Source organism: Homo sapiens, chromosome 5 (genome assembly GCF_000001405.40).
Source record: "Homo sapiens chromosome 5, GRCh38.p14 Primary Assembly".
NCBI classification, from domain to species: domain Eukaryota; kingdom Metazoa; phylum Chordata; class Mammalia; order Primates; family Hominidae; genus Homo; species Homo sapiens.
Window position 1 is genome coordinate 157,643,786 of NC_000005.10, and position 26,688 is coordinate 157,670,473.

At 41.0% G+C, this 26,688-nt stretch overlaps 1 protein-coding gene and 1 long non-coding RNA gene across 5 annotated transcripts in view, besides 1 other annotated feature; one reads left to right on the forward strand and one right to left on the reverse strand.

Moving 5' to 3' along the window:
* The window catches only part of SOX30 (SRY-box transcription factor 30), a 45,802-nt gene that overhangs the window by 18,107 nt on the left and 1,007 nt on the right, over positions 1 to 26,688 (reverse strand). For 2 of the 3 annotated variants that reach the window (NM_007017.3, NM_178424.2), the window contains exons 1-3: positions 7,327 to 8,653; positions 4,872 to 5,111; positions 2,852 to 3,031 (exon numbers count right to left, since the gene is read on the reverse strand). In NM_007017.3, coding sequence (NP_008948.1) covers positions 2,852 to 3,031; positions 4,872 to 5,111; positions 7,327 to 8,293 — 1,387 coding nt within the window. In that variant the 5' untranslated portion in view covers positions 8,294 to 8,653. Of the gene's footprint in view, positions 1 to 2,851; positions 3,032 to 4,871; positions 5,112 to 7,326; positions 8,654 to 24,012; positions 24,068 to 26,688 lie in introns of those variants that run through there. The other variant, NM_001308165.2, reaches the window with a different exon arrangement.
* Positions 8,021 to 18,252, forward strand: LOC105377675 (uncharacterized). 2 transcript variants are annotated; one of them, XR_941127.3, is made up of 3 exons: positions 8,021 to 8,547; positions 14,066 to 14,226; positions 14,744 to 18,252. It is a non-coding gene; the product is annotated as an uncharacterized LOC105377675 (long non-coding RNA). The 2 variants fall into 2 exon arrangements; XR_941128.4 differs by lacking the exon at positions 8,021 to 8,547 and adding an exon at positions 11,112 to 12,207 and having other exon boundaries at positions 14,744 to 15,353.
* Positions 8,296 to 8,590: an enhancer, noted in NCBI's record as "tiled region #8057; HepG2 Activating non-DNase unmatched - State 23:Low, and K562 Activating non-DNase unmatched - State 24:Quies". NCBI's record gives its function as "activates a minimal TATA promoter and a strong SV40 promoter by Sharpr-MPRA in HepG2 and K562 cells {active_cell/tissue: HepG2 | K562}" and the evidence as "EXISTENCE:reporter gene assay evidence [ECO:0000049][PMID:27701403]".

Sequence of the window (26,688 nt, forward strand, 5' to 3'; positions counted from 1 at the left end):
TGAAATTACTTGAAACAACAAAAAAGTATATACATTAACAACTGTATATGACAAGATATTAAAATTATGATTCCCCAAGATTATAGCACACGAGATGTGTGCTATAATCTGTTCTAACTTAAGCTTCACAAATGATTTAGAATATTAAATATACAGTGAAATTTCCAAATTTGCAAGTGATACTGACCTCTCTAAATAATATAAAGCCAAGTTGATGAGAACAATCTATAAGAATATATTTCAAAGCCATATGATTGGGGAACAAAATAGCAGATAAATTTCATGATTTACTGTTAAGGTGTATATCTTAATAATTCCCAAATTATGCTTATAAGATAATGTTCTCTGTTTATCTTTTGAGATGCAAGAAACAAATTTGTTTGTTTGTTTTTAGAGACAGCGTCTTGCTATGTTGCCCAGGCTAGTCTCGAACTCCTAGGCTCCCAAAGCACCAGGATTACAGGCATGAGTCACCACAGCTGGCCCAAGAAATAAATCTTTACTGACACTACATGTCACCAGAAATAAGAGATATTGTAAAAAACAAAACAAAAAACTAAGCACAAACAAAAAAATCATTCTTGTCTTAGATTTGATTACTGTTGTGCATAGCTCTGAAGTGCTTCCTATAATTCTGCCTACCATACTTAAATACAACATCATGGAGAAAGAACCCTACCAACATTAGAAGAAATCTTCCAGTTTCTACTAAACCCTTATCTTTGCTCAGAATGGCATAAAATTAATGTATCAAATGTCAACTGTTTCAAATAAGAACGTTGTTAATTCTGTTTCTGGGAAGAGAAAATATACAGCATTTAACAGTGGGTAGAAGCAGATGTAAGTGAGGTCTTGGAAAAAGGGATAAAAAGAAGAAAATTATATTATGAAAACAGAAATCATAACATAACACAGGCTGGGCATGGTGGCTCACCCTGTAATCCCAGCACTTTGGGAAGCCAAGATGGGTGGATCACTTGAGGCCAGGAGTTCGAGACAAGCCTGGCTAACATGGTGAAACCCCATCTCTACTAAAAATACAAAAATTAGATGGGCATGGTGGTGTGCACCTGTAGTCTCAGCTACTCGGGAGGCTGAGGTGGGAGAACTGCTTGAACCCAGGCGTCAGAGGCTGCAGTGAGCCGAGATCGCGCCACTACACTCCATCTTGGGTAACGGAGCAAGACTCTGTCTTAAAAAATAAATAAATAACATAACAGAAAAACAAGGTAAGTGAACAAAGTCATAATTAAGCCTGGGTTGAAATACAAGATTAAAGAAGTCACTACCAAACAGTGAAGACTGAGAGTGCCTGCCTGTGCTAGGACAGAACAGGGCTATAGGATCAGCTTTCTGCATCTCTCTCTTGAGTCTAGACATCTGGAATGTAGCTTGTTGCTATCAATTGCTAAAATGATACATTAAAAAACAACAACAACAACAACACTGAAAATGCCTAAGATTCTAAGAAGTCAGTTTCCAAGGTATCTAAAACTCTCAGCTCATATGGGTGGCTTTATTACCAGAAGGATTTAAAGAGGTTAAAAAAAAATAGAAAAAGCAGGTTTACGCAGTCTTAGTAGGTTTAAGAAAGTGGGCCAGATATGGTGGTTCACACTTATAATCCTGGCACTTTGAGAGGTCAAGGTGGGTGGATCATTTGAGCCCAGGATTCGACACCAGCCTGGGCAACATGGCAAAACCCCATCTCTAAAAAAATACAAAAATTAGCCAGGCATGGTGGTGTGCACCTATAGTCCCAGCTACTAGGGAGCCTGAGGTGGGAGAATCACTTGAGCCCAGGAGGGCAAGGCTGCAGTGACCTGTGATGCTGCCACTGCACTCCAGCCTGGGCAACAGAGTGAGACCCTGTCTGGAAAAAAAAAAAAAAAGTGACAGCAAGTAGTGAATGTATAAAGCTCTCCCTTAAAGATGGTTAAAACATGTTCTGGGGGCCAGGCGTGGTGGCTCACACCTGTAATCCCAGCAGTTTGGGAGGCCGGGGCGGGCAGATCATCTGAGGTCGGGAGTTCCAGACCAGCCTGACCAACATGGAGAAACCCCATCTCTACTAAAAATACAAAATTAGCCGGGTGTGATGGTGCATCCCTGTAATCCCAGCTAGTCGGGAGGCTGAGGCAGCAGAATTGCTTGAACCCAGGAAGCGGAGGTTGTGGTGAGCTGAGATTGCACCATTGCTCCAGCCTGGTCAACAAGAGCGAAAACTCCATCTCAAAAAAAAAAAAACTGTTCTGGAAAAACAAACCAATGATGGATAGCCCTATAACAAGTTATTAAGATATTAGGTTGTCAATTTTTGGTTCTTAAAATCAGTAACAGGAATGTAAAGAACTCAGAGGAGACATTTAGAGAGATTAATATAATGAACCAAACAAATATTTGGTAGAAAATAGATTACTTCCACTGCTTTTCTAGAGCAGTGAGAGAATGGTCTCAACAAATCAGTATCATTACTAAGTTCCAGGACAGGATGCCTCATACCCCATTAGCAAGGCAGTCTTTTATGCTGTTAGTAAAAAGACTCTCCTTTTTCCTATTGAATTACCTCAGTTATTTCCTGCATTATCTGCCTAATCTATGGGCTCATCCTGATTTGCTTAAAAGGTCTGAGGTTTTACACATGGATTATTTGCTACTCTGGCAAACCAAGTGTTTTGATCTCTACTGAAATTTTTCCTTCTCCTATTTAATGTTCTCACTTTCCCTCTTCTTTTTTTCTTAACATTGTTGTTCCAAATTCTTAAGACTAACAGAAAGAACACTTCAAACTTGAGGTAAAATTTTCTTGCAGCTATTTAAAAAATAGTAATCTACAATAAAACTAACTCACCAACTGGATGAGTGATGGGATTCTGTAGGCTGGGAATTACCACAGAGTACGTAGGTGAGCGGTAAGGATAAACTGTTGTAGGATTTGTAGAGATGATATTCTGTGTGGTACCAGAAAATACATTGGAAACACTTAGAGGGAATCGTTTTCGCTTCCCTGGACGAGGCTGATAAACCCAACCTATAGAAGACAAAATATGTTTAAATGTGTAGACTCCATTTAGCCTTTAAATAATTTTTTTCATACTAAAATGCAAAGCACTTTAAAGTGTTTTAAAAACAAATTATTGTCTAAAGTATCTTTTCCAGCTCCGGGATATTATTTCAGTGAATGACTTCTCCACTGTGTATTTTAACATACATATCCAAATAGCTCCTGACTAGTGGCCAATGTTATAACTCATCATTGAAAAGAAGAGGGTCAAATTTTTTTTTTTTTTTTTTGAGACGGAGTCTTGCACTGTTGCCCGGGCTGGAGTGCAATGGCACAATCTCGGCTCACTGCAACCTCCGCCTCCCAGGTTCATGTGATTCTCCTGCCTCAGCCTCCTGAGCAGCTGGGATTACAGGTGCATGCCACCACACCCGGCTAATTTTTTGTATTTTTAGTAGAGACGGGGTTTCTCCGTGTTGGCCAGACTGGTCTTGAACTCCTGACCTCGTGATCCGCCCGTCTCGGCCTCCCAAAGGCTGGGATTACAGGCGAGAGCCACTGCGCCTGGCCAAGGGTCAAATGTTTTATAACCAATGACACAGAATGAACCTGTAGTAGAGTCAACATCAAAACCGCTGTATTTGAATCCCAAAGCCTTTCCTCCACCTTATCAAATAATGCCTCACTATGACATTATTCATCTCATTTCCTCACTTTCTGTAAGTTACAATCATCTATATCTTACAATGCAATAGTCACTAATGATCAGTCACTATTTTTTTTGAGACAGAGTCTCACTCTGCCGCCCAGGCTGGAGTGCAGTGGCACGATCTCGGCTCACTGCAAGCTCCACCTCCTGGGTTCATGCCATTCTCCTGCCTGAGCCTCCCAAGTAGCTGGGACTACAGGTGCCCAACACCATGCCCAGCTAATTTTTTTATTTTTTTTTTTAGTAGAGATGGGGTTTCACTGTGTTAGCCAGGATGGTCTTGATCTCCTGACCTCGTGATCCACCCACCTTGGCCTCCCAAAGTGCTGGGATTACAGGTGTGAGCCACCGCGCCTGGCTGATCAGTCACTAATTTTGTGCCTAGTTCAAGAAGAGTCACTCTCCTAAACTCAGCAATCTCCAAGTCCACAAATAACTTAATTTCTTCCAAAGTCAGAACAGTGGAACTATGGCATTTGCAGCCACTGTGTAATCAGAACAATCACTGGTTCACTGTAGTTGCTGCCTCTGACCTTCATTACTAGAACCTCTCTGCCAATATTTCAGAAAATAATAAGTTTTGTCCCACCTTGCACAGACATGCTGGCCATGCACTGTGCATTTTCCAAGCTTAATCCCAATGTTCCCACTGCTAGGGAGAAATCGGACTCCTTTCACACTATATCATGACAGGGCTAAATCTATCAATCAGAAGGCAGGACTATGTTCTGACAATCATATGTTAAAATGGAATATGGTGACAATCCCTGCATTCTCATTAAGCGTAGACTGCATTTTTTTTCTGTTGCTATCATTTTAACACTTCTATAGTTTACTTGCAAAATTATAGCCTAAAGCTTTCAAGATGTACTTTCATTAAACTTACATCTATCTAAATCAAAACCACAATAAAACTGCGTGTCCTCTGATTTGTATGAGTTGGTGAATATGAAATCAGATATCCCTTTGCTTGGTTCTATTTAAGGAAACTCATGCCCAGTGTCATTTCAATCATTGTTATAATATTAGTCATTATTCTCTTTATTGTACATATCAGAAAAAAATTATATATTTTTGTCTTTCAATCTCAACCTACCCTAATCTTTAACTAAATAAATTCATTTAAAAGAAGTAAGAGGCATTATTTAATTTGATTACCAGGAAATTCCTCTCTGTGCTTTTCCTTAATCTTTTGTGCTTCATCGTAATAGGGTTTCTTTTGTTCTTCACTAAGTTTGTTCCACTCTAACCCAAGCTGGACACTGATTTCTGCATTGTTGGCTGCTGGGTTAGCTTTGGCTAGTGCTGGTCGGTGGATCCTTGCCCAAACCATAAATGCGTTCATGGGTCGCTTCACATGACCATTTCTGTCCTTACTGAAGGGAGTATCTGGTATGCCTACATGACAAAAATTAAAAGGCTAAATTAATGTGCCATACACACACACACACACAATTTTAAGGTAAAGTGCACCTCCGTCTATACTTATTTTTGAAATATCTGGAGGAAATATACACTTCAATATAACCAAAAAAACCTGCCAGTATTCCACAATTCCTTACATCCCCTGAACTCATCATTCTGAACTGTAGTTTAGAATGACTCCTTTTCCTCAAAGAGGATAATATTGTTGAAGATAACTGTGGCAATAATCATGTTGAAGAGAGTAAATTGTTGGCTTATTACTTCTTTGATCTGTATTATTAGTACCTCTAACAATAATTAACATTTATTTATTTACTACTAAAAATATTCTACCATTAAGGAACAGGAACCATGCATGACTTACTCGTGACTATAATCTTAGCTAGGTAGAGGTTCTCTAAACATTCACAGGAACTCATCTACATGCTGCTCTTGTGTCCTTTCAAGCAAAACTATTTATAATATTGTAATACTATATTAGTTGTATTTCACTACGAAGGTGAAGCTCTTACCAAGTGGAATCATCAACACTAGTCCTGTGTCCTGGGAGAAAAATGAAAGAAAACAATAAAAATAATTTTTTGGGCCAGGTACGGTGGCTCACGCCTGTAATCCCAGCACTTTGGGAGGCCAAGGCAGGTGGATCACGCGAGGTCAGGAGTTTGAGACCAGCCTGGCCAACATGATGAAACCCCATCTCTACTGAAAATACAAAAATTAGCCAGGCGTGGTTGCTCATGCCTGTAGTCCCAGCTACCTAGGAGGCTGAGGCAGGAGAATCGCTTGAACCCAGGAGGTGGAGGTTGCAGCGAGCTGAGATCACGCCACGGTACTCCAGACTGGGCAACAGAGTGAGACTCAGTCTCAAAAAAATAATTTTTTGAAAGTCACAGAAGGCAGGTAAAATGGCTCACACTTGCTTCTGACCTTCATTCCTAGAACCTCTCTGCCAATATTTCAGAAAAAAAATGACAGAAAATAATAAAAGTAATTTTTTTGAAAGTCAGAGAAGGCAGCCACAATGGCTCACACCTGTAACCTCAGTACTTTGGGAGGCCAAGGCGGAGGACTGCTTCATCCCAGGAGTTCGAGACCAGCATCTCTTTTTCATAAAATAAAATTTAAAAAAAGAAAGTCACAGAGCCAGTTGAAATTTCAACAAAGGAAGTTATCTAAATTCACATCTCTCATGTATTTTATCAAAAATAACTGTCCATAAATTTATTATATTATTTTAGGATTACTTCATATATTAAAAATTTCTTAAAAACACTAAAGATGAAATAAGTAGTATAAAGAAAGCTTTCCCTTTCTTTCCTTTAGAAAACAAAAATAAAATCTAAAAACTACTAAAGATAAAAGCAACAGGGTGGAGTGGAGAGGAAGAATCAACACAGAAAATTAAAAAAACAATAAAACATAAAGTTAATAAAAATATGAACCAAAGATTAATATGACTTTCCAAGATGTTCATTGGCAAAGTGTTCTGTGTGAACTAAATCTTAAAATAAGAATTTGCTAACTATATATCTGGAAATACTGAATAGAAATAAAAACATTATTTGTACTTGTTACTGCTGCAACTAGTCATTTCTTTAAAAATAATATTTATGGCTCATTCTACTGTATTCTTTTCAATATTTCTATAAGTCATTACCTTTCAGAGGAATAAACCCTAAAATATTACATTGAATCACGTATTGTTTTCTGCTAGAATATTTATTATTCATTTTTAAAGATAGCCTCTATAATCGGTATAAACTTTCCTGTTTAATTATAATCACTTTTTTCATTCAACACCATTATTTCTTCTATTTCTTGATACATATAAAAGTACTGAGCTGTTATACTACAATATTTTTAATCTTGATTATTTGTAGCATATAAACTGAGGGCTATGCGCTGTCTAGCAAGAATATTTCTATTTTTGTGTACAAAAATTAGTCCTATCTAAATACTGGGCCTTAAAATCGATTTTTTAAAAAATACTTGAGAATCTTGAAGGCATTCGTGTATTTTACTGCTATATGTACAAGTCGATCAGAAGTGATACCTGTGCAGACTCTGCCCTGAAAACAATCAGTTCCATTACTTTACTTTTGTAGTTTAGACTTGGGAACTGCTGACAAAACAGCTATGGGCAACACAGACGCAGTTTTGAAAACCCGACTCCCCTGCTGTCTAATACCTGCATCTGAGGGCAACACGGTGAGCGGGACATCTTTGGTTTCAATTTTTACAGAAGGCTCCAGTAGGGACTGCATTTTAGTAGGCACTGGTGTCAGGGGGACCTTGGTCAATCTTATCAGCTCTGAAGGCGGAGCTCCCTGAAACTGGATCCGGGCCCCAGGGGGGACCGTGTGGAGCGTCAAAGGGATCCTAAGGTCTTGCTGGTGCGGCCCAAAGGCACCGGACGTTGGGGCCAAGATGACCTCCGCGCTGCCATGAACCAGGCCATTGGACGCGGGCTCCGCGCCGAGCCTGCAGTCCTCGAGGAGTCTCTCGGGTTCCTCCGTTTTGATCACACCTTCTCGGATGGCTGCCGGGCTTTTGCCTGCCCCGCCTTGCATCGAGTCTCTCATGACCTCCTCCGCCTCCAGCTTGCCCTTCTCGTCCCCTCGGAAGTAGCCGAGGGCCGGCCCGGGGCCTTCCAACTTGACCACCCTGGAGGCTCTAGGACCGGTTTCGACGGCCCCTCGAGGCCCCACTGACTGATCCAGGCTGGGCCCCAGCTTCTGCTTCTTGGCCTTGACATGCAGCGCCAGGGGCTGCACCGGGTGCAACTCGGGCCTGGAGGTGGCGCCGTCTGACGCTGTCGGCGGCTGCAGGAGCCGCAGGTCGGGCCTGAACTGCAACAGCCGCGCCTGCGCGGACGAGGCAGCGGCTTCCTCGTTCTGGGCCTGAGGCTGTGGTAGCAGCAACACCTGCTCTGGCTTCACCTGCAGCAGCCGCCGCACCGCGGGCTGTAAGCCGGACGCCACTGCCTCCCCGCACGACGAGGCCAAGGTCGCACTGGCTGCCGCGCTCAGTGTGGGAGACGACGGAGGGGGCTCCATGGCTGCTGCCCAAAAGGAGGTGCCCTCGACCGGCAGCGGGGGCGGAGCGGGACGCAACGGGCGCGGCTGAGGCGGCGGCTCGGGTCTGGCTCTCTCCATGGGGGAGGGGGACGCCCCGGCCAGGATTGTGAGCTCAGCCGTTTGTTGGCGACCTTCCCCCTCCCCCTTTCGGTTAAGAGCCTTGCAAGGCCTTTGCTACCCAGAACCCTACGCGGTTCAAAACGCAGCTGTCTGTCTGGGCCTCACCCAATCACAACGACCGATACCCGTGGACGGCCAATCACAGGCGGGTTTTCCGGCTCTTCCTGGTCCCTACTCTCGCCTCGTGCTGAGTCCTCGAATCACCTGCCATGGTAGGAGCCGCCGCACTTGTTGCACATTTTCGTTCTGACTCTCTTGTGGAGTTCTCTTACAGCCGTTGTCTTTAGTCATCCCTCCCCCACCCGGAGCTGCGACAATGGCGTTGCCCAGGAAACGTTGCGCTTCCAGGCCGCTGACATCCAGGGAATGAAGTCTTGCGTCACAAGGGGAGCGACGGCCTTGTGCACGCGCTCTGTGCGGCCTGAGTAATCTGTCGGCCCTGAGTACCACCAGGGCTTTTGAATCTTTGCCAAGGGAGAATGGGGAAGATTTTGCAACTTATCAATAACCTATTAGCTAATGTTGCTGGGGAGGATCTTCGACTTTGTGTGATTATTGTGCTAAAGTTTCAATTAATCACCAGGCCCTGTGGCCCTACTTCCAAAATACTATACATCCCAAATTCATCCACTGTTTTGTGTCTCTACCTGCCATTATCCTGTTCCAGGCTCCCAGCATCTTTCACTGGGATACTGCCGTAACCCTGTAAATAGTCTCCCTGCTTGTCACCCTTGCCCCACTACACTCCAGCTGCCAGTGATCTTTCGAAAACGCAAATCTAAGGTTGTCACACTTTTCCTAAACTTTCCATGGCTCCCCACTGATAATGTAATGAAAGTCTAAAATTCTTAGCAAAGCCTTAAAAATCCCCCAGTGGCTTGGGATCTAACCTCCTACTACTGCTACTATTAGATTGGTGCAAAAGTAATTGTGGTTTTTGCCATTAAATAGTTATTGAGTCTTTGGGTTTCAGCCACATTGGCCCCATCATCATTCTCTTTCTACTGCAGGGTGTTTAAACATGCTCAGCATGCTACTCTTTCCTTTGTGTCTCCTTAATTCCTCCTGCACATTTTTCATATTGCAGCTCAACTGGGACTTCTTCAGAGAAGCTTTTACTGACTCTGAAAATCAGATAAAATCTTGGTCTACTTATACCTCTATCACTTGGTTTGCTTACCACAATTTGTAATTAGAATTTTCATGTGATGATTCCACTGCCTCTCCCACTTTAGACTATAAAGTCCTTGAAGGCAGAACAGTTTGTGTTTTGCCCATCACTGAATCCACAATGCAGACCATTGAGCCTGGCATATAGTACTCAATAAATACTTGTTGAATAAATAAATGAATAGCGACTGTGATAGGGTAATAATAAAATAGTAATAATCACTACCTGTGTTAAGGGCTTACTCTTATGCTAGACACTGTTCCAAATCCTTTCCATGTTTATGTTTCTCCTTTTAGTAGGATTGTGTTTATTTCCATTAAACATCACCAAGAAAAACAAAAAGAAATCCTGTATTAACATTTGCTGCATTTCTAAATGACATTCTGGCCAAAAACTATAGTTTATCTTGACGTAGATGATTTTTGCAATCAAGACAAGTTATCACTCAAAGACCACTCCAATTTATTGTCCAATCCTCTGGTAACAAATGTGGTCAGTAGGAGTTCTTATACCTGGCAGATAGACAAGGGCAATGGTTTTCAAACTTTTATCTCAAGAACTCATTATACCCATAAAAACTATTGAAGATCCTGGGCTGGGCGTGGTGGCTCACTCCTGTAATCCCAGCACTTTGGGAGGCTGAGGCAGGCGGATCACTTGAGGTCAGGAGTTCGAGACCAGCCTGGCCAACATGGTGGAACCTCGTCTCTACTAAAAATAAAAAATTAGTTGGGCATGGTGGCACATGCCTGTAATTCCAGCTACTCGGGAGGCTGAGGCAGGAGAATCGCTTGAACCTGGGAGGCAGAGGTTGCAGGAGCCGAGATCGTGCCACTGCACTCCAGCCTGGGCAACAGAGCAAGACCCTGTCTCAAAAAAAAAAAAAAAAACTATTGAAGATCCCAAAAAAGCTTTTGTTCATGTGGATTTCATCTATCAATATTTACCATGTTGTAAATAAAAACAAATTTTAAAGATAGCAACTCATTTAAAACGTCAACAATAAAACCATTCTGTGGTAACACATTTTCATAGGAAAAAATTATATTTTCCCCACCTTATGCTCACAAGAGAATGAAGTGAAAAGAGCAAATATTACATTAGGATTATTATGAAAATAGTTTTAACCTAGCTGACTCTGTAAGTGTCAGTCCCCATACCACACTTTGAGAACCACTGTACTAGGGTTTAAATGGGAGAGGCAACTGTATGCATGAGCAAAAGCTGATAAAAGAGGCAAATAAGTTGTCAGAGGTGTGTGAACCAGAGCACCTCCATCTTGAGTAGGTGCTGGGTAAAATGAGGCTGAAACATACTGGGTCGCATTCCCAGACAGTTAAGGCATTCTAAGTCACAGGATGAGATAGGAGGCTGGCACAAAGTACAGGTCATAAAAACCTTGCTGATAAAACGGGTTGCAATAAAGAAGCTGGCTAAAACCCACAAAAACCAAGATGGTGATGAGAATTACCTCTTGTCATCCTCACTACTACACTCACACTGGCAGCATGACAGCTTACAGATGCCACTGCAATGTCAGGAAGTTATCCTATATGGTCTAAAAAGGGGAGGCATGAAAAATCCACCCCTTGTTTAGCTTATCATCAAGAAATAACCATAAAAATGGGCAACCAGCAGCCCTTGGGGTTGCTCAGTCTATGGAGTAGCCATTATTTTATTCCTTTACTTTCTTAATAAACTCGCTTTCACTTTACTTTATGGACTCGCTCTGAATTCTTCCTTGTGCGAGATCCAAGAACCCTCTTTTGGGGTCTGGATCTGGACCCCTTTCCTGTAACTTCTTTCTGGTGACCCAGGTGGGATTATAGTGTGTAAGCCCCCAGTAAGTGGTGAGGTCCTGTAACATCTTTCTGGCAACTATGGAATGGACTGCAGTATGGAAACCCCGACCCAAAGGCTAACTTTGGGTAAGTGGTGGGGTCCGGTAACATCTTTCTGGTGAACCCTAAAGGGACGATACTTAGGAGACTCCTGACTCAAAGGAAATAGACTATAGCACTGATTGGACAATTTTGGATAAGTGGTGGGGTACCCAGATAAAGAATGGGATTGGGTTAGAAGCCCAACTTAGGAGGGTTAGAGTCCCTTCTAAGATTTAGGGGGCTAGAAGCCCCTCTCGGTAAAGTCCCCTTTGGCTAAGAACAGGTTTGGCACTACGGTATGTTAACTTCTATTCTCCTTGGAATAATCTGCCTTGTACTCTTTGCTGATGGATGCGGATGACAGGGTTAGGCAGGTACAGGATCATGGGACATGAGGAGCTTTTTCCTCCCGTAAAGGGGAAACTTGAGAGTCGATGGGACTGCTGGAAAACATCCCTTCACTACCGAGAAGTGGCCACCTGAACTCTTCACTGTCGCTGCAGTGGGTGGATCTTTCTGTGGCTTCCCTGAACGCCTGGCCTTCCCCACCTTGCCTCAGGCAATGCTGTCGTCTCTCTCTGTGCAAACTGGTTGTAGGAATGGTAAAAATCACTATTTCTTACAAAGTTTTGATTAATGGAAGAAAGGATTTGTGAGGCTAGTCTTAAGCTGTAGCCAATCTGGTGTGTTTCCTGTGTCATTCTGTATTGTTCTGTCATAAAGAGGGGTACCTTAGGATAGAACATGGGCTTAGGACACCTATAAGCCTGCTGTTCAAGATGGCCCAGCAAACTGGTCAGTTAAAAACTTTGCTGCAGGTCCGTGAAAAAAACTGGATGAGGTTTCCCTCTTGTCTTGTATGTCCTTGGGAGCTTGACCTTGTAACCATGTGGCTGTGCTTTCTCTTTCACAGTGGTGGCCCGGGTTCAGGGTTCAATTCCCATCTTAGGAGATGAGTCCTTTATCTTTTGTCTGTGTATTTATGTGTATCATGTGTGTGGTGCTTGTATATAACAGAGGTTTGATTAATCGGTTAAAAATAATAAGTGCTTCAGTCATATTTTTGTGAGAAAAATTAAACATATAATGCCTTTTATATAGTTCATGTGACTTAAGTAATCTTTGGGAAATGAAGACAGTTTTAAAGATTATTGGTAAAATAAAAATATCTTAAAATGTAAACATTTGGTCTAAATTATGCAGGTCAGATATTAGGTTTGCTAAATGCTTTAAGTTCATAAGCTGCTGCTTTCACTTTTGAAAATTGTTTAATTTACCTACTTTGACCATATTAGAGTCTAGATAAGGCCTGGGGACATGTGATGTTAGCCATACCCCAAGCAATGCTAGAAAAAGTCAGACCTTATCTGCACTTCTGTCTGTGTCCTAGGCTGCACACCTAGTACATAATTAAAATGCTTACCAACCAGGGTTTTCACCAAAAGTAAAAATCGCTGAAAGTTAACATTGTAACATGTAATTGAGACTACTGAAGAATAGTTCTACACATAAGGTGTGTAAGGAAAGTGAAATGTGTTTTTGGTAAAAGATCATTAGAAGTCATGAGAATGTAAATTTTCTTCCTTAGATTAAATGGTTAAATTATTGTTTTAAGTTAGATAGAATGAAGCTGAAGGTTTAAGAAAGTTTTGGAAAGTGTGAAAAATTAATTGTAGGACATTCTGTGTGTGAATATATTAGTTAAAGTTAAAGGGGTATTCAGTTTTTCTATAAATTAAACATTGGAATAAAAGCACAAGTTTTTTTAGAGCAAAAACCTGCTATGATTTGCTCTTTAACAAAAATATGTAAAGGGTTATAAAAGGTTTGTGAGAATCTTACCTTATAGTCAAACTGATTAAGATTGAATACATTTGTCTATAAGGTTTTATAAAGAATTGGGTTTGTCATCAATAATGCACTAATGCAAGAGTCACATTTGGCTTATTTGGTACAAAAACCACACAGGAAGCATTATCAAATGTAAAATGGTGTTTGGATTTTTGGGGGCTGTAATTGTATAAATGTATTATTGGTATATATTGAAAATTATTTTTAAAAGTCTTATAATTCTGATATGACTTGGTGTATATTGTGAATAATTATAATTGTTACATAAAATCATTGTATACCACAGAAGGAAGCAAATTTCCTTATCAATTGAGACTTTAATAGTGGCTGTCCTAAGACTTTTTGTCATCCACACACAATTGTTGTCTTTTAATCCTCTTCAAAAGTTGGTTTATAATCAACTGTAGAACTCTAACAGGTGTTCTTAAATGCAGATTTCTGATAACTTTGGAAATTGTGATATTAAAATAAAGGAAAACACTTTCAGAATACTCATGGAGAGCTGAAATGTTCAGGAATATCAAGCAGAACAGAAGTTAACTGCATTGACTGAACTAATAGAAGACTAAAGTAATCATTTTAACTTTGCTTAAAATGCTGCTGATCCTTTGTTTTGTTTTTCAGAGTCAAGGAAACTTATCTTTTGAGCTATTTGCAGCTTGTAGCAATTGAGTAAAGTATATTGCTGTGAATAACATTTGAAGCATATTTAGTTCTCTCTACCTAATTTCTCCAGAATGTGGAAACTATTTGTGAGTATTCTTACATTATGGCAATATAGTTATTTGCATAAGTGCAATAAGAACCTCTTTTCTTTTGCAACAGGACACAATTGGAAACAGTGGTTATTTTACCAACGCTTTGACTGGAATGGCACGTTTTCCTTTAAGGAATCAAACTTGACTTGTAAAGCCAATAAAAGCCCCTTGGGGAATTGGCCTCAGACCTTGTCTACAACAGCCCCTGTACAGGGTTTCTGACCTGTGGTAAGTAAAGAATGTCACTTTCTACAGGTCCAGGATCCCCAGGTTATCTTGGGACCCCAAGAGGAGGGGAATTTACTCATCTCATAGGTATTTGAGGGTACAAACCTATGGCAGGGCTCAGCTCTGAAAAAGTCTTATCTGAGATTCTTTCTATGGAATAAAGTTGCATCAAAACCAATTTAAAAAGTGGTTATGTAAAAAATAATTATTCTCATTGCACTTTATACAACTAATCAGGCCAATTATAGTAAAGCAAATCAGTCTTACCGTGATTTGTCTTTAGTAAAAATGGGAAACTGGAGAGAGAAATTATGTTTCAGAAACTGTGGTACACTTGTTATTAAATTCTAGTCTCATCAGTTGTTTTTAAGTTTGTTTCTGCAATTTAGGCTAACCCTGCTTATTCCTCTGAACCAACTAGTGACATCTGACTGCTGCTCAGAAGAAACAAGAGGGATGGGTAATGTAAAAATCTAAATCAGTATTCTAATTCTGAGCACACTTATGAATCTTCCAGATATCACCTTTTGTCAAAACTCGGAGTTATGAATTGCCCTCGCCATACTGATGCTTTCTGACTGAGCTCCTCTCTACCCTGAATACAAGAGACTCTCATAGTTAAGCAAGAATATCATTGCTCCTATTCAGCATGAAGAAGTTACAGAAGATGGATTTTCAACCCTCTGCAACCCTTAGGATTAAAATTATACAAACCTTTAGGATTATAAAAGGGAGGGGGTAATGTCAGGCGTGTGAACCAGAGCAACTCCATTTTGAGTAGAAGCTGTGTAAAACGAGGCTGAAACCTACTAGGCTGCATTCCCAGACAGTTAAGGCATTCTAAGTCACAGGATGAGATAGGAGGCTGGCATAAAATACAGGTCATAAACAGCTTGCAGATAAAACAGGTTGCAGTAAAGAAGCTGGCTAAAACCCACCAAAACCTAGATGGTGACAAGAGTCACTTCTTATCATCCTCACTGCTACACTCCCACCAGTGCCATGATAGTTTACAGATGCCATGGCAACATCAGGACATTACCCTATATGGTCTAAAAAGGGATGCATGAATAATTCACCCCTTGTTTAGCATATCATCAAGTACTAACCATAAAAATGGGCAACCAGCACTCTGTCTATGGAGTAGCCATTCTTTTATTGCTTTACTTTCTTAAACGTGCTTTCACTTTACTCTGTGGACTCATCCTGAATTCTTTCTTGTGTGAGATCCAAGAACCTTCTCTTGGGTTCTGGACCTGGACCCCTTTCCTGTAACATCTTTCTGGTGACCCAGATGAGCCTATAGTGCAGATATTCCCAGTAAGTGCTAGGATCCTGTAACGTCTTTCTGGTGACCATGGAATGGTCCCACTATACTGTGGAAACCCCCAACTCAAAGGCTAACTTTGGGTAAGTGGTGGGGTCCAATAAGAAAGTTAGTGTTAATTTTGTGCAAGGTTTCAGTTCATATTCTGATTTCAGTTATCAAAATGTAATTGACAATAGATGCATGGGTGTATTTCTGAACTCTCTGTTCTGTTCCTTCCATTCCTTCCATCTATGTACTATAAACCAAAAGTATCTGAGGCAAGCCTTAATCAATTTAGAAGTTTATTTTGCCAAGGTTAAGGACATCCCCGTGACACAGCCTCAAGAAGTCCTGACAACATGTCACCAAGGTGGTCAGGCTACAGCTTGCTTTTATACATTTTAGGGAGACATAGGACATCATTCAATACTGTAAGATGTACATAGCTTCAGTCCAGAGAGGTGTGACAACTCAAATCAGGGCTTCCAGATCACAGGTGGATTCAAAGATTTTCTGAATGGCAATTGGTTGAAAGACTTATCTAAAGACCTAGAATCAACAGAAGGGAGTGTCTGGGTTAAGATATGGGGTTGTGGATACCAAGGTTCTTATTATGCAGATAAAGCCTCCAGATAGTAGGCTTCAGAGAATATCAGACCTAAAAAGTCTATTCTGTCAGTCTGAAAGTCGCTGTTTCTATGTTAATGCTGGTCAGCTGTGCCTGAATTCCAACGGGAGGAATGTTTAATGAGGCATGTCTGACCACCCATTCCCATTGTAGCCTGAGCTAGTGTTTTAGGTTTACTTTAAAATGCCCTAGCCTGGTGCAGTTGTTCATGCCTGCATTCCCAGCACTTTGGAAGGCTGAGGCAAAAGTATTGCTTGAGTCCAAGAATTTTAGACCGACATGGGCAACGTGGCAAAATCTCGTCTCTACAAAACAATACAAAAATTAGCCAGGTGTGATGGCCTGTGCCTGTAGTCCTAGCTACTCGGGAGGCCGAGGCTGGAGAATTGCTTGAGTTCAGGAAGCAGAGGTTGCAGTGAGCTGAGACTGCACCAGTGCACTCCAGCCTGGGCAACAGAGTGAGACTCTGTCTCAAAAATATAAAATAAAATAAAATAAAATAAAGTAAAGTAAAATAAAATAAAATATAAAATAAAATAATAAAATATAAAAAATATACCCTTGGCCAAAAGGAGGGGTCCATTTCATTGGTTGGGGAATTTAGAATTTTATTTTTGGTTTACAGTATCTCTTTTTTTTTCTTTTGTTACAAATGGGGTTCTTACTCTGTTACCCAGGCTGGATTATAGGCATGAGTCACCGTGCCAAGCTATATACATATTTTTATGCCAGTACCACAGTCTTGATTACTCTAGCTTTATGGTAAATTTTGAAATTTTGAAATCATGTAAGTCCTTGAACTTTGTTCTTTCATTAAATCATATTGGCTTTTCTTGGTCCTTTGGATTTAAAAGATAAATTTTAGGTTCATCATATCAATTTCTTTTAAAGCAAACCCTAATGGTATTTAGATAGAAATTATATTGAATCTATGGATCAATTTTGGGAAAACTGACACCTTGATGATACTGTATTTTCCTATTTGCAAACATGGGACATATCTCCATTTATTTAGGTCTTAATTTCCTTTGACAATGTTTTATAATTTTCAGTGTACTGTCCTGTACTTCTTTCATTAACTTTATTTCTAAATCCTTTATTCTTTTTATGCTATTTGTGAATGTAATTTTTTAAAATTTCCTTTGCAGTTGGTTGTATGTTGATTTTTGTATTTTTATTTTCTTACCTTATTGCACTGGCTGGAACTTTTAGTCCAAGGTTAAATAGAAGTGGTGAGAGTGTACATCCTTTTGCCTTGCACCCAGTCTTAGGAAGAAAGCATCCAGTCATTCACCTTTAAGCATGTTGTTAGTCATAGGTTTATGTAGCTGCCTTTTATCAAAGTAAGAAAGTTTCCTTCTATTCCTAGTTTATTGAGAATTCTACCATGAATAGTAGTTCAATTTTATCAAATGCTTTGTCTGTGTCTATTGAGATGATTATATGGCTTTTTCCTTTAAGGGTCAGCAACATTTTCCAGAAAAGGCTATATAGTAAATATTTTTGGTTTTGTGAGCCATATGAGCTCTGTTGCAACCAATCAACTCTGCTTTGTAGCAGAAAGCAATCATAGACAATATGCAAATGAATGGGCTTGGCTTTGTTTCAGTAAACTTTATTTGCAAAAACAAATGTCATGCCAGATTTGGCCCAAGGGCTATAGTTTGCTTTTGGCTATAGTTTGCTGACCACTGATTTATTCTATTAATATATGTATTACATGAATTGATACTCAGATGTTAAGCTAAAGAACATTCCTGTAATAAATCGACCACACTTGGTAATAGTGTATAATCCTTTTTGTACATTACTGGATCTAATTTGTTGTTATTTAAACAATTTTAGCATTTACATTCATGACGAGTGTTGTTCTATAATTTTCTTGTGATATCTTTGTCTGTGGCTTTTAGTATCAGGGTAAAATGAGCTGTAAAGTGTCCCCTTCTATTCTTGAAAAGATTTCCATTGGATTGGTATTATTAATTATTTAAATGTTAATAGAGTTCCCAATAAAACCATGGAGGCCTGGACTTTGCTTTGAAGAAGATTCTAAAATAATTTAATTAAACGCTTTAATGTTTTTCACTGATATATATCTATGCAAATTGTATAATTTCTTTTTGAGTCTACTTTGATCATTTCTGTTAATGAATTTGCCCATTTCATCTAAGTTGACAAATTGTTGGCATAAGGTTGTTCAAAATATTCCTTTATAAGCCTTTTAATTTCCATAGGGTTCAGAATGCTTCCTCTTTTAATCCCAATTTTGGTAATTTCTGTCTTCTCTCTTTTTTTCTTGGTCATTTGACTAAAAAGTTAACAATTTTGTAGATCTTTTCAAGGAATTAACTGTAAGTTTCACTAATTTTCTCTATTGTTTTGCTGTTTTCTTTTTATTGATTTCTGCTGTGGTCTTTAGTCCTTCATTCTACTTTGGCTTTTCTTTTTGTAGTTTCTTAAGGTGAAAGCTTAATTAATTTTTCTAGGTTATTGAAGTCTTCCTTTCTAATTTTTAAAGCTATAAATTTCTCTCTAAATATTGCTTTACCTGCATTAATTTTGATATGCTCTGATTTTACAGTCATTCAGTAGAAAATATTTTATAATTTCCCTGGAGGTTTTTTCTTTGATGTGTAAACCACAAATAAAATTCAAAAGCCTCCCCCACAAAAATCTGATTGGACTTTCTCCTCAGCCAGGGAACTCTAAAACTTACCCTGAAAGACTGGTTCAGGCCATGAAAGGAAGTAGGGGTTGGACATGCCTCATTACACTCCTCCAGCATTAACCAACACAAACCTTATATCTGATAAGAAACATTGATGGTCTTCTCTCTAATGCCTGCTGGAGGCTTTGTCTGCATGATAAAACCTAGGTCTTCACAACCCTTTATCATAACCCAGACATTCCTTTCTACTGATAATAACTTTTTCAAGCAATTGCCTTCAGAATATGTTTAGGAAGAAGTTGAATCCCTGAATAGACCAATAACAGGCTCTGAAATTGAGGCAATAATTAATAGCCTACCAACCAAGTAGGACCAGATGGATTCACAGCCGAATTCTACCAGAGGTACAAGGAGGAGCTGGTACCATTCCTTCTGAAACTATTTCAATCAATGGAAAAAGAGGAAATCCTCCCTAACTCATTTTATGAGGCCAGCATCATCCTGATACCAAAGCCTGGCAGAGACACAACAAAAAAAGAGAATTTTAGACCAATATCCCTGATGAACATCAATGCAAAAATCCTCAATAAAATACTGGCAAAATGAATCCAGCAGCACGTCAAAAAGCTTATCCACCACGATCAAGTGGGCTTCATCCCTGCGATGCAAGACTGGTTCAACATATGCAAATCAATAAACGTAATCCAGCATATAAACAGAGCCAAAGACAAAAACCACATGATTATCTCAATAGATGCAGAAAAGGCCTCTGACAAAATTCAACAGCCCTTCATGCTAAAAACTCTCAATAAATTTGGTATTGATGGGATGTACCTCAAAATAGTAAGAGCTATTTATGACAAACCCACAGCCAATATCATACTGAATGGGCAAACACTGGAAGCATTCCCTTTGAAAACTGGCACAAGACAGGGATGCCCTCTCTCACCACTCCTATTCAACATAGTGTTGGAAGTTCTGGCCAGGGCAATCAGGCAGAAGAAAGAAATAAAGGGTATTCAATTAGGAAAAGAGGAAGTCAAATTGTCCCTGTTTGCAGATGACATGATTGTATATTTAGAAAACCCCATTGTCTCAGCCCAAAATCTCCTTAAGTTGATAAGCAACTTCAGCAAAGTCTCAGGATACAAAATCAATGTTGAGAAATCACGAGCATTCCTATACACCAATAACAGACAAACAGCCAAATCATGAGTGAACTCCCATTCACAATTGCTTCAAAGAGAATAAAATACCTAGGGATCCAATTTACAAGGGATGTGAAGGACCTCTTTAAGGAGAACTACAAACCACTGCTCAACAAAATAAAAGAGGACAAAAAAAATGAAAGAACATTCCATGCTCATGGATAGGAAGAATCAATATCATGAAAATGGCCATACTGCCCAAGGTAATTTATAGATTCAATGCCATCCCCATCAAGCTACCAATGACTTTCTTCACAGAATTGGAAAAAACTAAAGTTCATATGGAACCAAAAAAGAGCCCGCATTGCCAAGACAATCCTAAGCCAAAAGAACAAAGCTGGAGGGATCACGCTACCTGACTTCAAACTATACTACAAGGCTACAGTAACCAAAACAGCATGATACTGGTACCAAACCAGAGATATAGACCAATGGAACAGAACAGAGCCCTCAGAAATAATGCCACACATCTACAACCATCTGATCTTTGATAAACCTGACAAAAACTAGAAATGGGGAAAGGATTCCCTATTTAATAAATGGTGCTGGGAAAACTGGCTAGCCATAGATAGAAAGCTGAAACTGGATCCCTTCCTTACACCTTATACAAAAATTAATTCAAGATGGATTAAAGACTTAAATGTTACACCTAAAACCATAAAAACCCTAGAAGAAAACCTAGGCAGTACCATTCAGGACATAGGCGTGGGCAAGGACTTCATGTCTAAACACCAAAACACCAAAAGCAATGGCAACAAAAGCCAAAATTGACAAATGGGATCTAATTAAACTAAAGAGCTTCTGCACATCAAAAGAAACTACCATCAGAGTGAACAGGCAACCTACGGAATGGGAGAAAATGTTTGCAATCTACCCATCTGACAAAGGCCTAATATCCAGAATCTACAGAGAACTTAAACAAATTTACAAGAAAAAATCAACCCCATCAAAAAGTGGGTGAAGGATATGAACAGACCCTTCTCAAAAGAAGACAGTTATGCAGCCAACAGACACATGAAAAAATGCTCATCATCACTAGCCATCAGAGAAATGCAAATCAAAACTGCAATGAGATACCGTCTCACACCAGTTAGAATGGCGATCATTAAAAAGTCAGGAAACAACAGGTGCTGGAGAGGAGGTGGAAAAATAGGAACACTTTTACACTGTTGGTGGGACTGTAAACTAGTTCAACCATTGTGGAAGACAGTGTGACAATTCCTCAAGGATCTAGAACTAGAAATACCATTTGACCCAACCATCCCATTACTGGGTATATACCCAAAGGATTATAAATCATGCTGCTATAAAGACACATGCACACGTATGTTTATTGTGGCACTATTCACAATAGCAAAGACTTGGAACCAACCCAAATGTCCATCAATGATAGACTGGATTAAGAAAATGTGGCACATATATACCATGGAATACTATGCAGCCATAAAAAATGATGAGTTCATGTCCTTTGTAGGGACATGGATGAAGCTGGAAACCATCATTCGCAGCAAACTATGGCAAGGACAAAAAACCAAACATCGCATGTTTTCACTCATAGGTGGGAATTGAATAATGAGAACACATGGACACAGGAAGGGGAACATCACACACCGGGGCCTGTTGTGGGATTGGCAGAGCGGGGAGGGATAGCTTTAGGAGATATACCTAATGTTAAATGACGAGTTAATGGGTGCAGCACACCAACATGGCACATGTATACATATGTAACAAACCTGCACATTGTGCACATGTACCCTAAAACTTAAAGTATAATAAAAAATAAAATAAAATAAAATAAATATATATTTTAAATATACATTTATTTTAAATATATAAATATTTAAATAAATATAAATAATTATAATTTATAATTTATTTATAATAAATAAATAAAAATAAAACTATATGGAGCCCTTAAGTGTTTTAGGTACTTGACATCTATTGTGTATTATTACCCCCATTTAATAGTTCAGGAAACTCAGACCCAAAGAGATGGAGGAACTTCACTAAGATTACACAGTGAGTCACTGCAAAGTTGCAAAACCTGGTCTGACTGACCATCTTGCAGGATATTCCCTTTTTTTTTTTTTTTTTTTTCTTAGATGGAGTCTCACTCTGTCACACAGGCTGGAGTGCAGTGATTTGATCTCGGCTCAAATTTCAAAGCAATGAAATTCCTGAAAGCCACTTAGTTATTGGGAGAGAAGAAGATTAAAAGAAAGAAAAATTAGTGAGTGAAGAATGGAGAGGTATTGGATGGGAAGATATTGTGGGAGAAATGGAATCTTGAAACTAAGGAGATTGGCCAAAGGTTTTTGTTTTTTGTTTTTGTTTGTTTGTTTGTTTTTGAGACAGGGTCTCACTCTATCACTCAAGCTGGAGCACAGTGGAAAAATCATGGCTCGCTGTATTCTTGACTTCCTGGGCACAAGCGATCCTCCCACCTCCACCTCAGCCTCCAGAGTAGCTGGGACCACAGGAACATGCCACCATGCCTGGCTAATTTTTGTATTTTTGTAGAGATAGGGTCTGGCTATGTTGCCCAAGCTGGTCTCAAACTCCTGGGCTCAAGAGATCCTCCCCTCTCAGCCTCCCAAAGTGCTGGGATTGGTGTGAGCCACTATGCCCAGATGAAAGATTCTTTAGTCCAGTAGACACACACACACACACACACACACACACACACACACACACACACACACACCTCAGTTCAAATGAAATCTCAGCTGGGATCCCATTCAGGTCATCAAAATCGTTAGCATATTAACATTTATTGAGCACTCATGTGCCAGGTATAAGGCCCAGCTCTTTTCAAACATGATCTCATTGAATCCTCCCAACAGCAGAATAGGTAATTTTATTAGCCCCATTTTATGGATGAGGTTTTTTGTTTTGTTTTGAGATGAAGTCTGGCTCTGGCGCCCAGGCTGGAGTGCAGTGGCACAATCTCAGCTAACTGCAACCTCCACCTCCTGGGTTCAAGCGATTCTCCCGCCTCAGCCTCCTAAATAGTTGGGATTACAGGCATGCACCACTACACCTGGCTAATTTTTGTGTTTTCAGTAGGGACGGGGTTTCATCATGTTGGCCAGGCTGGTCTCCAACTTCTGACCTCAGGTAATCCACCTGCCTTGGCCTCCCAAAGTGCTGGGATTACAGGCATGAGCCACCATGCCTGGCCAAGGTCAACTCTTTAACATCAAAGCTGGACTCCAACCCAGGTGTCTCTTCCACTAGGTATCTGAAGAACTTGTCACCCACTCTGGGATGGATAGGCCATTAGGGAGAGTCAGGCTGGGTTAGGGAGATGTGGATGAGGGAGAGGCTCACCCAAGAAGTGGAGGGATGGGACGTAGGAGTCCTGACTGCTGCCCCAGACTCCTATGAAATAAAGAGATGAGCTCAGCTTGTCACTGGAAAATCTCTGTGGAGTATTCATTGTGCCTGAAGTTCTATGATGGTGGCAGTGGACAGATGAAAAGTACTATCTCTTAAAGAGATTAAGTATGTTTGAACACAACTTCATTTCTTGTTGAAAATACATTTCATTTCCCCTCCCTTCATTCCCCCACCAAATGCATTGTACTGCTTTGGAGTACTTGGAAAAACCAGTTTAAAAACCTTGAGGCTGGGTATGGTGGTTCATGCCTGTAATCCCAGCACTTTGGGAGGCCAAGGCGGACGGAATCACCTGCGGTCAGGAATTTGAGAACAGCCTGGCCAACATGGTGAAACCCTGTCTCTTCTAAAAATACAAAAATTAGCCGGATGTGGTGGCAGGCCCCTGTAATCCCAGCTACTTTACTCTGGAGGCTGAGGCAGGAGAACCACTTGAACCCAGGTCGCAGAGGCTGCAGTGACCTGATATCATGCCACTGCCCTCCAGCCTGGGCGACAGAGCGAGACTCCATCTCAGAATACATACATACATACATACATACACACACACACACACACACACACACATACAAACCTTGCTGGATGCACAGTAGACTTTGTTCCTTCCCTCTACAACATTTCTCCATGACCTGGAACAAAAAGAAGGGAACTTCTGTTTACTGAGCACCTATGACCTGCAAGGCATTTTATATCTTACCTCATTCATTCCCCACAACAACACTTGTCAGGCATCACGCCTATCTTACAGGCAAGAAAACCAAGGCACAGAGAGGTGGAGGAACTTAATGTCAGATGTGAACCAGGCCATACGATGCACAGGGCGTGCTCTTCCCATGCCAGGCTGCCGCCCCAGTGATTCTCAGCTTCATTATGAGCACAGAGTTTATTTCAGCCATTATTGGCCAAAGGAACTGCTCTGTGAGGGATGCCCATGTTTGGAGCCTTCGTTTATGGTCCCTGGCCACTGACTCTTCTCCTACGGCTGTAGCTGTTGAGGACAGTGGTTGATAACATGTCAAGAAGGAAGCCTGGGATGAAGACTTATTCCCCACACTGCAGGTCCTAGCTCCAGGCTGTCAGGCAGGGGCAGTGATTTCAGAATGTGAAGGATTCAGAATTTGGTGGGTCCAGAGGATCCTGCCAAAGGGTTAGCCAGCTGGAATCAGAGGGGTAACTTGTCAGGGAGCAGGGGGAGGTAGGTAGCTGCTGAAGTTGCTGCTAAGAGTGATCCCAAAGTTCTGACATATCTGTCTCATCCATCCATCCATTCATCCATTCACTCACCAATCCATCCATCCATCCACTCATCCATCCATCCACTCATCCATCCAACCACTCATCCATCCGTCCATCCATCCATCCATCCATCCACTCACCTATCTATGTGGCCCTTGAACACACAATCAGAACATAAAGGTGGAAGAATGGGTTTTCTTCTTTGCTGTGACACCTCTGGCTTTTCCTGATCAGTGATGGGGACCTGCAGACTGGGAGTGCTTCAGCTCTGGTTCACTCTGATCTTGGGCAAGTTACCTCTCCACTCTGAGAGGTTGGGGAGGTGGAAGAAACCATATAGCTGTCTTGTGCAGATCGCCCCTCCTATTTCATCGATGGGTGACTGAGCCTGGGAGTAGGAAGGTGACTTGCCAAGGTCAGGTAAGGAATTAGTGGTAGATTTGGTACTGGATCCCAGGATCCTGCTGCTCATTTGTAAAGTGAGAATGGGAATCCCGGCTTTCCTCACTTCCCAGGATTGTAGAGAGGACCCCATGAGATAAATGGTGGGAAAGCATTTTGACAGGTGAGGTCACAAGGCCAAAAGGTGCCAAATGTGCACCTGGGGCCCTGGCTGCTAGACTAGGGCAGATCCCACAGAGACCAAAAGGGGTCAGCAGAGGCTTGTGCTTAAATGCTCAGCTAGGATCTGCTGCAAGGCACAATGCCTGGGTGCTGGGATTGGGGAGGGAAGCAAAGTCATTTAATTTTTTGAGACAGAGTCTTACTCTGTAGTCCAGGCTAGAGTGCAGTGGCACTATCTCGGCTCACTGCAACCTCTGCCTCCTGGATTCAAGTGATTCTCCTGCCTCTGCCTCCTGAGTAGCTGGGATTGTAGGCAGGCACCACCACACTCGGCTAATTTTTGTAGAGATGGGGTTTCACCATTTTGGCCAGGCTGGTCTTAAACTCCTGACCTCTAGTGATCTGCTCTCCCCGATCTCCCAAAGAGTTGGGATTATAGGTGTGAGCCACCGCGCCCATCAATTTTATTTATTTATTTATTTATTTATTTATTTATTTATTTATTTATCTGAGACAAAGTATTTCTCTGTCGCCCAGGCTGGAAGTGCAGTGGCACAATCTTGGCTCACTGCAACCTCCGCCTCCCGGGTTCGACTGATTCTCGTGCCTCAGCCTCCCTAGTGGCTGGCATTACCGGTGGGCGCTACCACGCCTGACTAATTTTTTTATTTTTAGTATAAACGGGGTTTCATTATGCTGACCAGGTTGGTCTCGAAAACTCCTGACCTCAAGTGATCCGCCCGCCTTAGCCTCACAAAGTGCAGGGATTACAGGCATGAGCCACGGCACCCAGCCTGGCCATTTTTCTGTAGAATTCCAGGAACAGGCTGAGTGGGGATGGGGGTGGTTCTGAGGCTACTAAAGAGAAGAGCCAAAGATTGTATAGGTAAATTCTACCTGCCAACGCCCTAGACTCAAATGCATCAGGCTCACCCCAGGAAGGGCAGCTAGGGCTGCCTTGTTCTAGAGACTATATGAAGGGCAAGGAAAAAGCCTCCTGAACCCAGGTGGAAGCCTAAATGCTAAGGGATGTTCTGGATCCTCATCATCAGATAATCCAGAGAGAAGTGAACTGATGGCCCCTCAAACCAGTGAGTAATGGGAATAAAGGAATGTGCTGTTCATCACAGCAACTAAAAGTCTGCAGGAGAGACAATGCTCTTGAGGGTAAGGGTAGTGATAGGAGGAGGGTCAGTCATTTTCATGCTAGTTAAGAAATATTTATCAGGCACTGTATTAGGTGTTGGAGATACTGAAATGTACAAGACAGTCATGGCCCCTTTTTTCAGAGCTCAAAGTCTAGTGGGGGAAACAGACATTAAATAGGCAATTACAGGCAGACAGAGCTTAAAAAGAGGATAACAGTGGCTACCTTAAAAGGATGTTGTGAAATTTAATGAGATAATCCAGGTAAAGAGTTTTATCAGGGCTTGGCACAGAGTAAGCCCTC